The 14,581-nt window shown below is 35.0% G+C and overlaps 1 annotated feature.

Annotated features, from left to right (window-relative positions):
• Positions 12,134-12,428: an enhancer, noted in NCBI's record as "tiled region #1662; HepG2 Activating non-DNase unmatched - State 12:CtcfO, and K562 Activating non-DNase unmatched - State 13:Ctcf". NCBI's record gives its function as "activates a minimal TATA promoter and a strong SV40 promoter by Sharpr-MPRA in K562 cells, with weaker activity in HepG2 cells {active_cell/tissue: K562 | HepG2}" and the evidence as "EXISTENCE:reporter gene assay evidence [ECO:0000049][PMID:27701403]".

Genomic DNA, 14,581 nt, shown 5'->3' on the forward strand with positions numbered 1-14,581 from the left:
GAAGTTTTCCTTGATAAATCCAATTAGCAGCAAAATTTGACAAGTGAATTTTCCCTTTTTGTTGTAGTTGAGTAGATACCATTGGACAAATTCACCCACATACAACAGCTAAACATTTTGGAAAAATTTCTATACACACACACTACCTAAAGGCACTGGAGAAAAATCAAAAGTATACAAATTCTGGAAGAGGCAGAAGACACTCCTGGCATGAAAGGAATAGTACCAGATGTGTTTCCTGGTTATACACCTTTTAGCTTGAGAGTAGGATTCAGTCTATGCTGTGTATGGCTAAACCTCAGTAAAACCAAGAGATGCTTATTCAAAAAAAACTCAACAAAATTGCTAAAACTTTTCGTATATTGACTAAGAAAAAGAGAAGACAACTAACTATATTCAGGAACGAAAAAGACATCACAGCTGATTTTACAGAAATAAAAGGAATTTTAAGAGAGTACTGTGAACAATTACTTGAAAACAAATTGGATAACCTATATAAAATTTATAATTTCCTATAAACACACAACCTAACAAGATTGAATCATAAACAGAAAATTTGAAGAGAACTAAAGCAAGTAAGGAGACTAAGTTAGTAATTTAAAGTCTCACAACAAAGAAAAGCACAGTCTTAAATGACTTCATTGGTGTATTCTACCAAACATTGAAAAAGATATTATCACAAATCACCTCAAAATCTTCAATAATTCAAGAGGAGGGAGCATTATCCAAAAATCCTTAAAAAAGTTTAGCATTTTCCTGATAGCAAAGCTAGACAAAAACACTACAAGAAAATGAAACTACAGAACAATATCTCTTAGAAGTATTGATGCAAAAATTCTCAAAAAAATATTAGAAAATATAATTAAACAGCACATTAAAAGACTTTTTACACTATGACCAAGTAGAATTTATTCCTGGAACTCAAGGATGGCTCAACATATAAAAATCAATCAGTGTAATTCACCACATTAATATAATGGTTGAAAATCTCTCACATAATCATTTTATTGATCTGAAAGTATTTGAAAAACTTCAACACCTTTTTATGATAAAAACACTGAACAAATTTGGGATAGAAGGGTGCCTCAACATAAAAAAGCCATATAGGAAAATCCCACAGCTAATATTATACTCAATGGTAAAAAACTGAAAGTTTTTCACCTAAGATTACAAAGAAGACAAAGATGTCCACTCAATGGATGTCTTTATTTAACCGTTCAAATCAGAAAGTGGATTTGCAAAGTTGTAAGGTACAAAATTAATATACTAAATCAGTTGTATTTATATACACTAACAATGAACAACCCAAAAAGGAAATTTATTTTAAAAATTCCATTTACAGTAGCATCAAAAAGAATAAAATCCTTAGGAATAAACTTAATCAAGTAGGTCAAAGACTTGTATAATAAAAACTAAAATGTTGCTAAAAGAAATTTCAGAAGACGCAAATGAATGAAAATGCATGCCAGGTTCGTGGATTGGAAGGTTTAATGTTGTTAAGATATCAATTCCATGCAAAGCAATCTAAAGATTTAATACAACCCCTATTAAAATCCCAATGGAAATTTTTACAAAATAGAAAAATCCATAGTAAAACTCATATAAAATTTCAAGGTACCCTCAAATAGACAAAACAGTCATGGAAAAAAGAAAAGAGCTGGAAGTCTCATACTTTCTTCTTTCAAAACTTACTACAAAGTCCAGTGATCAAAACAGTGTGGTAACAGCATAAAGACCAACAAATAGACCAATTGGAATAGACAAAAGAGCTCAGAAATAAGCCCTTTCATATATGGTAAAGTGATTTTTGATAAGGATGCGAAGACCATTAAATGGAGAAATGAGAAAATCTGTGAAACAAATGGTGCTCAGAAAAGTGGATAGTCACATACAAATGAATGAATGCAGACCCTTCATTAAATTCTATACAAAAATCAACTCAAATTGGATGGAAGACCTAAACATAAGAGCTAAAAATATAAAAATCCCAGAAGAATAACCTAAGGGAAAATAAATATGACAATGGATTTAGCAATGATTCCTTGGACATGACACAAAAAGTACAAGAAAAAAAGTAAAAATAGATAAAATTGGACAATATCAATATCAGAATTAAAAATTTTTGTGCTTAAAGGAAATGATACAAAGAAAAGGTAACATAGAGAAGGGGAGAAAATATTTGTAATTCATACATCCAATAAAAAGTTAAGATTCAGTATAAAAAATTCTTACAACTCAATAACAACAGCAACAATAACAAAAACTCTGAGTTTAAAAATGGACAAATGAATTTAGTAGCTTGGTTAACAAGCACACAAAGAGATGCTCAACACCAGTAACCATTAGAGAAATGCAAATTGCCATGAGCTAGGACCTCCCACCAATTACTATGCCTACTATCAAATAAGTAAATTAATAAAAGAGAAAGCAACAAGTGTTGATAAGGATATAGATAAATTGGAACCTCTGTGTGTTGTTAGCATAAGTGTAAAATGGTACAGCTATGATTTTTGGGGAGTTCCCAAAAAATCAAAAATAAATTCTATTGTCTAGAATTTGGGAGTTCCCAAAAAATCAAAAATAAAATGACCGTATCATCTATCAATTCGATTTCTGGCTCGATACTCAAAATAATAGAAAACTGGGTTTTACCCATGTTTACAGCATTATTATTGTAAACAGCTAAAAGATGAAAGCCACACAAATGTTCATCAATGATTCAATGCATAAACAAAATGCATGATACAGTGCGTCAATGATATAATGCATAAAAATGTGGCATACAGATACAATGCAATATTATTCAAGCTCAAAAATGAATAGAATTATAATGCATGCTATAACATGGATGAACCTTAAAGACATAATACTACATGAAATAAGCCAGTCACAAAAACACAAATACTGTAGAGTAGACAAATTCATAAAGACAGAAAGTAGAAGGGTAGTTACCAGTGTCTGGTAAGGAGGAATACAGTATTTTTGTTTAATGGGATATAGTTTCAGTTTTGCAAGAGTTTTGGAGATTGGCTGTACAACAATGCCAATTGTACTTAATACTACAAAACTGTATGCTTAAAAATAGTTAAGATGGTATATTTAATGTTAGATGTATTTTATCACAATTGAGATTTTTAAAATTATTAAATGTTTTTCATATAGGCAATGATAAAAGTGGCAAACTGGGAAAACTTTCCTACTTATGTAATAATATCTAATACACTTTGCACATGGAAAGAACTGAATAAGTGAAAGCTGGCTTATTTTAAGTATGTATATATTTAAGTATATATATATTCAGTTTTTCCTTATATATAATTTACAATGAGCAGATGTTCATTAATGATTCATTAAGACTGTGGGTTCCCTTCAAGGTTGTGGATTTCCTTTTGGCCCAAGGTGTGTCTAGAAACATCATCCATGAGCTGGAGCCTGGAACGGGGACCTTACAACTTTTCCCGGTGCTCTATTCTACTGTGGCTGAGCTGGTACCCAAGATGCAAGACAAAACCCTCTTTACCCTTTGTTCTCCTCTCCTTAAGCAGAAGGAAGGTGTCACTTATGTTGCTGAGAGCTGCACTCCCTCTGGGTTTGGGGGGAGTGGTGGTGCAAGCACTCCTTTAGCTGCCCCAGCTGGTGTCTCACTAGATCACATGCCACCCTAGTCCACTGGTTCTGAGCCCAGCACAGCACTAAGAGTTGCCTAAGAATTGTAGTCCTTGGGTCCTAGACTGCCTTTCAAGTCTGAGCAGGAAATCAGAGCATTTTGGCATATGGCAGTAAGGCTTACCAACAAACTCAGATTCCGACCATCGGGATGGACAATTCCCCTCTGGCTACATCTGGTCCAAATGTTCCCTCTGTGTGCAGGCACTGGTTGAACACAGCAGGGCTGTGCTCTCTGCTGTGACAGGGCAACACTGAGTTCAATGTAAAGTTCCCCATAACTACACTCTCCCTCCCCAAAGTGCACAGACTGTCTCCCAGCTACACAGCTGCTGCTAGGGGATGGAGGAGGGGTGGTGTTAGCGATTCAAGACTGTCACTCCTGCCCTCTTCAATGTCTCTTGCAGCAATATAAGATTAAGAGCAGGTACTGTGATTGCTCACCTGATTTCTGGTTCTGTGATGGTGCTTTTCTGTGTGCAGATAGTTGTTAAAATTTGATGTTCCTGCAGTGGGTAGGGAGGGGATAAATGCTGTAAGCTTCTATTGCAGCATGTTGCTTTGTCCTGGCAATACAAATTATTTAATCGGAATTTTCAGTTTCTTCAAAAAACATTTTCTCAAGTAAGCCAAATTAAATCACTTTAATGCATAGACACTTATACAACTTAACAACACGATTAAAACATATTTTCAATTTTCCTACTTTATATCACTATAGTTATTTAATAAGAATAATTTTTATTTATAAACTTCAGTGAAGGTGCCTATCACTGTTCATATGTGTGCCCAATTCAAATAATAGTAAATAGAATTACTGCCAAGAATCAAAGCCATTATTCCTATTAATATTTCCAAGGCAAATTTTGCTGTTTTTAAAGTTGCCTACCAAATGATCTTTTTGTGTGTAATTTAACATCGATATTGGTGTTTTAGGTATCAGTATATATATTGGATAAAAATAGGAATGTTTTAATTTATTTCATATTAAATCTATAAAAATGTATGAGCAATTTCTTTCAAATATCCTAGACTTTATTGACCAAAATATATCCAAATATTTTGCCTCCAAGTAGTAAGAGGGGAAATCATCTATTTGCACAAAAGTGAATCAAAATCTGATTACATCAAAACTTGAAGATTCTTTTTCAAGGGAAGTTTCACCAATATCTGAACATCACCAGAAGAAAGATGCATAGTGAAGATATTCCTCTTCACTGGTTAAGAGGAACCTGTGCAGGGTATTCAAAGCTCTTCTCATAAAGATTCCATGCTAATCACATACTAGGTTTTCTATGTCTTTGTAGTGAAATTGCAAACACTTTAAGAGCAGGAAGCTTGCAGATGCAATGACTGAAAAATATTTAAAAGGTTGTACTGTTTGCTAGTGGAGCTGCTTTGGCCTTGTACTGAAAAGTGGCACCTGTACCTTTGAATTCGTTGTGGAATTGAAAGGAGGTAAAGAGAAAGGATCCTGGGTCAACCCTTACTGTAAAAATAAATGATTTTCACTGGGATAAACATTGTCATCAATATTGACAATGAAAGATTTATTAACTTTACTAGTGTAGATATAATTCTAAGGCCAGTAGAATGATTGTGAACACCTCTGTTTTCTGAAGTGGGAAAAATATTAGTTCACTCTCTGTTGATATTTGAAAGAAATGATATGTACGCCATCATGTTCCATTCATATCAAACTTCTAGGAAGGCTGTATTAAAGTAAATTAATATTTAATATTAACTGTAGCAAAAATAACTAATAATTTTCTGTAAAGATTATGATGTCATAAAGTTGTATTTAAATGCTGTGTGTAGCTTATTTCTGGTTAAATTCTACTATCTGCTATCTGCTTCTAACAGGTAAAATATGAGCATAATAATTAAATTAAGAAAACTTTTAAAAGCAGCAATCAACAAAGTAATACATTGTGCTTCTAATTTGAAATTTGTAAAAGATGGCAACAGAAAATTATGTCCTCACTACATATTTAAGTTTGAGAAGAGTTGCATTAGGCAACACAATTTAATTCACAAAATTCTGAAAATTAAAATAAATTCCTTTGAATATAAACATAGGCACACAGAAAGGAATAGATGGCTTGTCAAAAACGATTAAAAAAAAAAAAAAAACCTTTGTAAGAGATGTTCCTATGACAGGATTCAACATTTTAGCAAAGACAAGAAAAATCACTTTTTCATTTATCCTTAGTGAATTGAGCTGAATTTCTAAATCACAAGACTGTGCACATTCATTGGAGGATAATACATCCAATATGGTTGATTAAACAATGCAAAGGATATTTGACACAATCTCAAAAGAGAAAGCAGAAAGCATTTGTTTGCTAGGGCTGACATAGTAAAGTACACAGACTGGTGGCTTAACAATAAAATTTTATTTTCTCACAGTTTCAGCAGCTAAAAATCCAAAATCAAGGTGTCAGGCAGGTTGGTTTCTTCTGAGGTCTCTCTCATTGGCATGTAGATGGCCACTGCCTATTCAGCCCATAGCAGTACTGTACAACTGTGTTAGAAAGACAATACAAAACACCTGCTGGTCTTTCACCTCCCATTTCATCCTTGCTACTTCACAGCAGCAAAATATATAAAGCACAACACCTAGTCTTCCCACTGTCACTCAGAGGGCAAGACAGAGTTCTCAGTTATACTGTGAGGTATATCATGTTGGAACACACATATTAAGTTGAGGCAATTTAAAGATTTGAACAAAGCTTACCTTATTAATTTTGAGAACACTAAAATGTGCGGCATAGAGAAGTGCAAGAGTGATTTTTTCCAGGTTTATTAAGGTATGATTGACAAATAAAAGTTTTATATATTTAGAGTGAAAATTCTGATGTTTTACCTGTTGTTAACTTGTATAAGTGTCTATGCATTAAAGTGATTTAATTTGGCTTACTTGAGAAAATGTTTTTCGAAGAAACTTAAAATTCTGATTAAATAATTTGTACTGTGAGGACAAAGCAACATGCTGCAATAGAAGCTTACAGCATTCACTGCCCCTCCACCCCTTGCAGGAACACCAAATTTTAACAACTATCTGCACACAAAAAAGCACAATCACAAAACCAAAAAACAGGTGAGCAAACATAGTACCTGTTTTTAATCTTGTATTACTGAAAGAGACATTGAAGAGGGCAGGAGTGACAGTCTTGAATCACCAACAGCATCCCTCCTCCATTCCCTAGCAGCAGCTGTGCAGCTGGGAGAGCGTGTGCCCTTGAGAGAGGGAGAGTGTAGTTATGGGGACTTTAAATTTAACTTGGTGTTGCCCTGTCACAGCAGGGAGCACAGCCCTGCTGGGCTCAATCAGTTACTTGGAATCCCTTCCATTCTGGAATATATCCTTGTTGAAATAAATATCTACTCCAGTTTTGGGCTTTCCTTCTGTGACTTTGAAACACTGAGCAGCTTTACCATTAGAGGGTTTTACACAATGATAGACATGTTCATGTTATGTCTCATGGAGCACTGCCTCAGATCAAAGGGTTTGTTAATGACAGAGGAGATACAATAATTGACTGACAACATGAGATTCACTGATTTTATCATGTTACACTAAATCCCAGAAACAGGTGGCTTGAAAAAGTGATGAAATGGCCTGTTGATAATATAGCTAAGGTTCCAACTCCAGGTAACACTTTGCCTATTGGAGTATAATCTTACAGGTTGTGGTATATAAACTCAGTCAATAGCGAATGTATAAAATGTGCCCTCAAGAACTAGAAACACTAGTTTAAGGATCAAGAAATAGAAGTAACATTGCTTCTTCCTACCATCAATTCTGATGTTTTAATCTCTCTATATATTGTAAAATGATTACCAAAATTAAGCTAATCATATATGAACATATCCATCACCCCAATAGTTACCATTTGTTGGTTGCTTTTATTTTTATTATTTTTTTTATTTTTGTAGGGAGAATACTTGAGATCCACCCTTAGTAAAATTCAGGTATACCATACATTATTATTAATTATATAATGACTATTCTTATTATACTCACCATGCTTTACATCATGTCTCCAGTACTTTGAAGATTTGTACCCTTTGATCGATTTTTAAAGTAACAGAATTTCATTAATTAAATGAAACTAAAATTTGAAAGTTAATTAATTTCTGTTTCAGTAATTGGAAAACAGGCCCGATGTAAAAGAAAATGCACATTGATGGGGGGGAAATTAAATTTCCACAAGTTGTACACTTAGAAAAATTTAAACAGAAAATGTATTCATTAAATCTAGAAGCCTGGAATAAGAAGATAAAACAACAGAATAAGATAAAAAGGAGAGTTTGAATTCAGAAAAAAAAATAGATTGCAAAATAACAAATTAGAGAATTAAGAAATATATTAGTAGAAGCAAATTAGAATATTTCTGAAAATATTTTTACTGGCATTAAAGAAAAGTATGAGGAAATTCAATGTAAAGTTGGAAATAAGAAATAATATGATTTAAGCAACTAGAAAGAATATAATAGAGAATACAAACAAAATGATGCAGTGATAGGATAATTGTCCTGTAAAAAACATAGAACACAACCACAAACGGAACCTCCTGTAGGATCTTTAGACATGACAAGAAGCTCTCTAAAAATAAGAAATAACTGTGTTAAAGAAAGCAGTAATCATTCTTTTATTCTTACTGATTCATTCTTTTATTCTTCCTGATTCATTTTTTTTTTTTTTTCTTAGTGCCTGGAACAATCCTTTTTTGTTTGTTTGTTTGTTTGTTTGTTTGTTTGTTTGTTTATTATACTTTAAGTTTTAGGGTACATGTGCACATTGTGCAGGTTAGTTACATATGTATACATGTGCCATGCTGGTTCATTCTTTTATTCTTTCTTCTTGAAATAGAACAACCTGGCTTTCCTTGCACAGTGTGGTGGAGTTGGACAATTCTTGGGATTCATTGTAATGATGTGTGACCATTGAGCATGTTTGTGCCAAGGGTGCAAGCAAATGTGACATGCAGTTTAGAGGCCACATATTTATAAACAACATTTTTAACCTTTCCTTTTGATGTCATTAGATGAGAGTAAATTAATCAAAACCAATGTATTAATCCACAACAATGAAGAGAATAGAAGTTGATCCAGCAACATAAAATTTATCAAAAGTTTCTGCAATCTGAGAAAGATAAAAGTATATTAACAATAAATAGAGTACATCTAAAAATCTACTACTGGAAGATTCTCCATGTTTACTACAGTAAAAGGTTACTATCTGTTACACAGTGAACTTGCCATCAATACACACATACACACACACACACACACACACACATACACGCACAGAAAGAGAGAGAGAGAAATTTAAAAAGTAAACTAGAAAATGCTTTAGATTTGAAGACATTTGTAAAAGGCAGGAATGACAAATGTGGTCGAAAAACAGGAAATAATGATTGTATAAAGGATTGTCAGCTCTCTAAACGTGGTCTTAATAACAAGAAGTAAAAATTAAAGAATTCTCTAAATACATTTATTGAATAGTTTGATATTGAATATTGAAAAATTGTGCAAACTACTGTGGGTATACCATTACTTAAGAATAAAGACCTCCATATTCTGGTATTCTAAGGAAGCCTCTTGTATATTTAGCTCATCTTACTCAAGTGTTGACAGAGTAACAACTTAAATGACAATTTGAGGAAGCAATAAAAAATACTAGCTTGGATATTTCAACATTCAATTCCATAAAAAGATGTAGGTTGTATTTTAGATGAAAAATTAAATCATCACAATAACCCAATGCAATGTGCAAACACTGGTTGTATTCTGATTCAAAATGAATACTTGAAAAGATATCCAAAGAGATATGCAATTAAATTATGGAATTATGACTCATCTTTGATGCTGTAATAATGGTACTGTGGTTATGCAGAAGAATGTCTTTATTTCTAGAGATGTATGCTTACGAGTCATGGTACTTGTCTTAGCCCATGTTTTCTAGAAAACAGAAGCTGAGACAGAAGCTGATGAGCATGAGGATAAATGCAAGCTAGCAGGGAGGACATGCAAAATTAAGAGAGTAGATTAAATATTAGAAACACAGCTTTGCAAAAACAAAACAAACAAAAAAAAACAAGGCTGTTTGGCCTGTTTTGTAGGAAATGTGCAGAGAGACTGCATGAAACTAGTTTCCTGGAATAGACCCTTTGGGTATTAGATGGCAAGCTATCTATCTATTACTTCTTCCTATCTCTAATCTCTTATATCGTATGGGTCAAAATTCAACCCATATGGAGTTAACTCTGTTCACGTTGTGTTTCATGGCCCCATCAGACAGCTCTTCCTGAAGGAAAATACTCTTGTTTGTCCAGTCCAGCCAGGCCCTGGTCATGGATTTCTTCTGTCACTAGGTAGAACACATTGGGTTCTCTGGTATCTGATGGAAGCAATACCAGCAACATAAACTGGAATCCTACCACTAAAACAGTCAGGAAACTTGTAACCTTTACGCTGACTAGGAAGCAAGACAAGCAGCCAGGCTGGAGGTGGTTGGGGGGATAGTGGGAGGAGCCAAGCAGATCTGGCGTGGAACATAATTTGGGCCTGGTATGATCCTCTGCTCATGCTACTAAGAATGTCTCACATAATTTTGCAGTGACTATACATTCCATGCGATCAAGACCCTCTCACTTCTTTTTGGAAGGGAGATGAATATTCAATCTTTCAAGGTGAAGGGTAGTTGCAATCACCAAAAATTGCATTCAAGGAGTGTTAGCAAACAAATCTATTATCCTCATGCTGCAGGTGACTGTGAAGCAAAATTGATATTTTTCACTTCCCATTTTTATCACTTATTCTAGAGTTTAATTACATTTCTCCAGATTTTCATGTGTTCTAGGTTGCTTACCTGCCAAGTGTTCTAGTGATCCTTCCCCAAATATTCCAAACTCTTAACTCTGTTAAAGATACACAGTTTTTATAGCTCCCTATTTAGATTAATCACTGATCATATTCCAAGTAAGTCCAATGGACTCCAGGAACACTCTTTTCTGATTAATTTTGCATGGGCAACCAGTTTCTCTTGATAATGAGGATTGATTTCTCTAGCCAGTTCTACTACTCATATCATTGTCCGATAACTCAATAGGATAAAAACTTCAAAAGTAGTCAGTTAACAGTGAAATTTTCCAATTAGTAGAATTCTTACTGTGTCTTGCAGTAGAAATATACTACCCACACTTGTGAATCAGAACTTCTAATTTAGCAGAGCTTACATTTCAAAGAGACCAAGTGACAAAGTGTGATGATAGGAAGAGGCAATGTTAATTGTATTCCTTGATCATCAAGCTAGTGTTTCTTGCTTTTGAGAACACATAGCTCTATGCATTTGCTATTGAGTGAGTTCATATACCACAATCTCTATGACTATACTCTAAAAAGGCAAAGTGTTACCTGAGGTTGGAATCTTAGCTGTACCATCAACAGGCCATTTCATCATTTGTTCAAGCCACCTGTTTCTGGGATTTAGTGTAATGTGGTAAAATCAGTAAATCTCATATTGTGAGTCAACTATTGCTTCTCCTTTGCCATTAACAAGCCCTTTGATCTGAGGCAGTTTTCTATGGGATATAATATGGATGTGTCTGTCATGGTGTAAAACCTTCTAATGGTAATACTGCTCAATGTTTCAAAGTCACAGAAGAATAGCCCAAAACTAGAGTAGATAGTTATTTCAATAAGGATATACTCCAGAATGGAAGAGATTCAAAGTAACTGTTCTGCCCCAAGATGAGTAGCAGGTGTTGCTGAGAAAGCCTCAAGGGGGAAAAATTAGTTTCCAATTCCAGTTACTTGGGAATTCAGTAGTGAAAACAACTACCTCAATCTTGCTAAAGAGGACTCTATTGGTAGGATAATCCATATATTTCTTCATGGATAGCCAAGGTGGAAGGACGTTTGATGTCCATTAGATGAGTCTTCCTGTCTACCTGGTTTTTAGGTTTTCATAAATGCTCACTTGTGGCCACTAAAATAAGACATAAAGATCAGTACAGGTTGTTCCCATTTTCAAGTTTATCCACACATGTATGTATCAGGGATACATTCCCTGAGCTTCTAGTGTTATTTTTCTATGCTTCTGACAAATTTCCTCAGTTATCCATCACAGCTGAGGAGTCAGTCCTTATCTCTACCTCAGGCCACCTCTCTCCATATTAGCTGGGTGACCCAGTGTACTGCTGCCAGCTCTGCAATTTGGAGGATTTTCTCTCACTGCCACCCTACATGGCAATGAGTGCAGCTTAATATACCAGCAGCCTTTTCTTTGGTGGCACCAACATATTGCATCTATTCATCTGTGAGCCTGGCCCAAGTCCCTTCCTCCAGTGCAGTTGATCATAGAGGATGTCCTAAGAGGCCAGTGTTTGTTCAGGGAGCAATACACGTAGGTGACAAGAGAATCCAGGACATTGATTCATCTAATTTTTTCATGCTATCTGGACAGACTTGAGTCTGATCCCTCATGTTCCATTTCTATTTTCTAATGGATTGTTGCTGTTTCTACTCCTGCAAAATATCTGACTCAATTCATCTGAGAACAAGCTGATCATTGGCTGCTCCTGCCCACAGCCACTAGGTGTCCCATGTTCAGCTGCTCAGTCTCTGTTAGGGCCTGGTAGCACTCCAGGAGTACAGTTGCTCAGAGACAGCAACGAGATGTGGCTCTCCTTTATGTGACTCTCCTTTAAGCTGCCACAGAAGCCCTCCAGCTTTCACTGTATGCCTTTAAGTTGACAGCAGCTGCCATTTACCTGTCACTGTCTTTTGAAGACTTTCATTGCCATCAGAAAATGTCACTCTACATCTGTGTCTTTGAAATTATAATTGTGCCAGGCAAGTTACAAGTAGCAGCCACTTATCTCTCACTACATATTTTTCACATCTATATCATAATGATGTCACTGCATATCAGGATCATGACCTTCCTTTTACCAAGAACAATGTGATTTCAACTGCATTCAAACTGAAAAGCAACCCAACTACAAAATCCAGCTCCAAGGGTCTATTTTCTAGTGACTGATATTCCTGGTACCAACTGTACCAACTTCTAAAAAAGCAGAGCCTGAGAAAAAAAGTATGTGTGCTAACACTTAATAAGGGGTGTGGGGGAAAATTTGAGAGAAGCAAGCATGAGAGGAATGGGGAAGCAAGGCAGAAAAAGAGGGAGAACAATTACTAGAGGCTGTGATCTTGAATTGGCCACAGTTTCACAAATGGTCATTAGGCTTCACAGCCTCTTCCAGAGAGGCTGCAAATCTACTGCATCTTCTGTCTGTGAGGCGGGAAAAGAGGGAGGAAAAGCAATCTGTCATTTGCTTCTTCCTTTCCACTCCTGTGTCCCATTATCAAAGTCAATCCTATGAATCTTAGCTGCCAAATTTCCAGGTTGTAACACCTGACCACCATGTAGCATATGGTGAAGCCAGAGTCTTTTTAGTCCCATTTGGCCAAGGAGTAGTTGCAGGGCCTCTTCCTGCAGGGACCGGTGTATTGGGAATCTTCAGACTGTAATAGGGGCAGCAGCAGCACCAATGTCCATAATTTTACAATTCTGGAAGTGACATAAGCCTTTGGCAAGGCTGTTCTGGTAAGAAAACATGACAAAGAGCTGAGGCTTGAGAAAGAGAGAATGAAGACTTCTAGGGTATTCCATACCCTGGATCTGGTAGAAATTTGCAACTGACTTTTAAATGGTTAAAAAAAAAAGTTAGATAAAGTATAGTAAAATAGTAACAATTGTTGACTCTAGGGAGGATACACATGCATGCACACGCTCCAAATTTATTTGAAATGTTCCTTACATCAAAGTTAAGAATAAACATGATTTCTGAAAAAGGAAAATGTCAAAAGTAAAATTAGAGCTCTTGAAAATATAGGGGATGTATAGTATCAACCTACAAAGCATAACATTTCTTTTTCTAACATTTCAATGCCTTTTAATGTTTTTAAAATTATTTATAAACATTAAAAAATGTTTTGTTTAAAACCAATAGATGCTCTACTTTATTTTACTACGATTATTTCTATATCTGTTTATATGTACATAACAAGTTAACATGAAATTCTTCCAACCCAATTTCAGCTAACTTATGGAGGCAATAGATGCCACTACATTTCAAAGTGAATGGTAAAACAGATAACAATGGAAAATTTTATACAAAGTGGCCACAAACCTGTTAAAAAAAACTCACTAGCATGGAGATTATGTAAGGATAGGATTTTTGAGCCTGGAGAGTTTGGGGGTTTTGAGGGGGAATTGTTTGAAATACCTTGAGGATTACTTTGGAGGGTAGGAGGGAGTAAACGGTCCTTCACCTCAAGTCAGCTGAGCAGGGTTTCTATGGAAATTTGTTTTGTACAACCACTAGACACAGTGTGAGATGTGACTCACTTCTTAGTAAACTGAAAGTGGAGAGACTCACTAGAGCGACCAGGATAGCAGATAAATTGGAGCTTGGGGTCACTTAAAAGTGATGTGAGTCTGATCAAGAAGCTTCTGCAAGAGAGGAGCCTGCAGCCAACTTTCAGCCTCATGTACAGATAAGATGACTTAATGTTAAATCACTTTCAAATTTTGATTATTACATAGCAGTATGCATTTTTAATTATTGAATTGGGACAATTTTGCTTTTTAAAGTAACCATATGATATTACCTTAGAGTGAACAAAAGACTCAATAGGCTTGTGCATGTTATCATTTAAAGTTAAGAATTTATTGAGCACTTAGGATTTTAAAGGGCAATGTGAGACTAAAATAAAATATTTTTATTATTTTATCTTTTGATTCATGTTTTGTTTAATAAGTCTTTTAAACAAACACAGAATTTTGAGGTTCATTTAATAATAAAAGTGGCAACTTTTATGAAGACATTTTTGCTTATTTCTC

The sequence above is a fragment of the Homo sapiens genome, chromosome 5, assembly GCF_000001405.40.
Source record: "Homo sapiens chromosome 5, GRCh38.p14 Primary Assembly".
Taxonomy (NCBI): domain Eukaryota; kingdom Metazoa; phylum Chordata; class Mammalia; order Primates; family Hominidae; genus Homo; species Homo sapiens.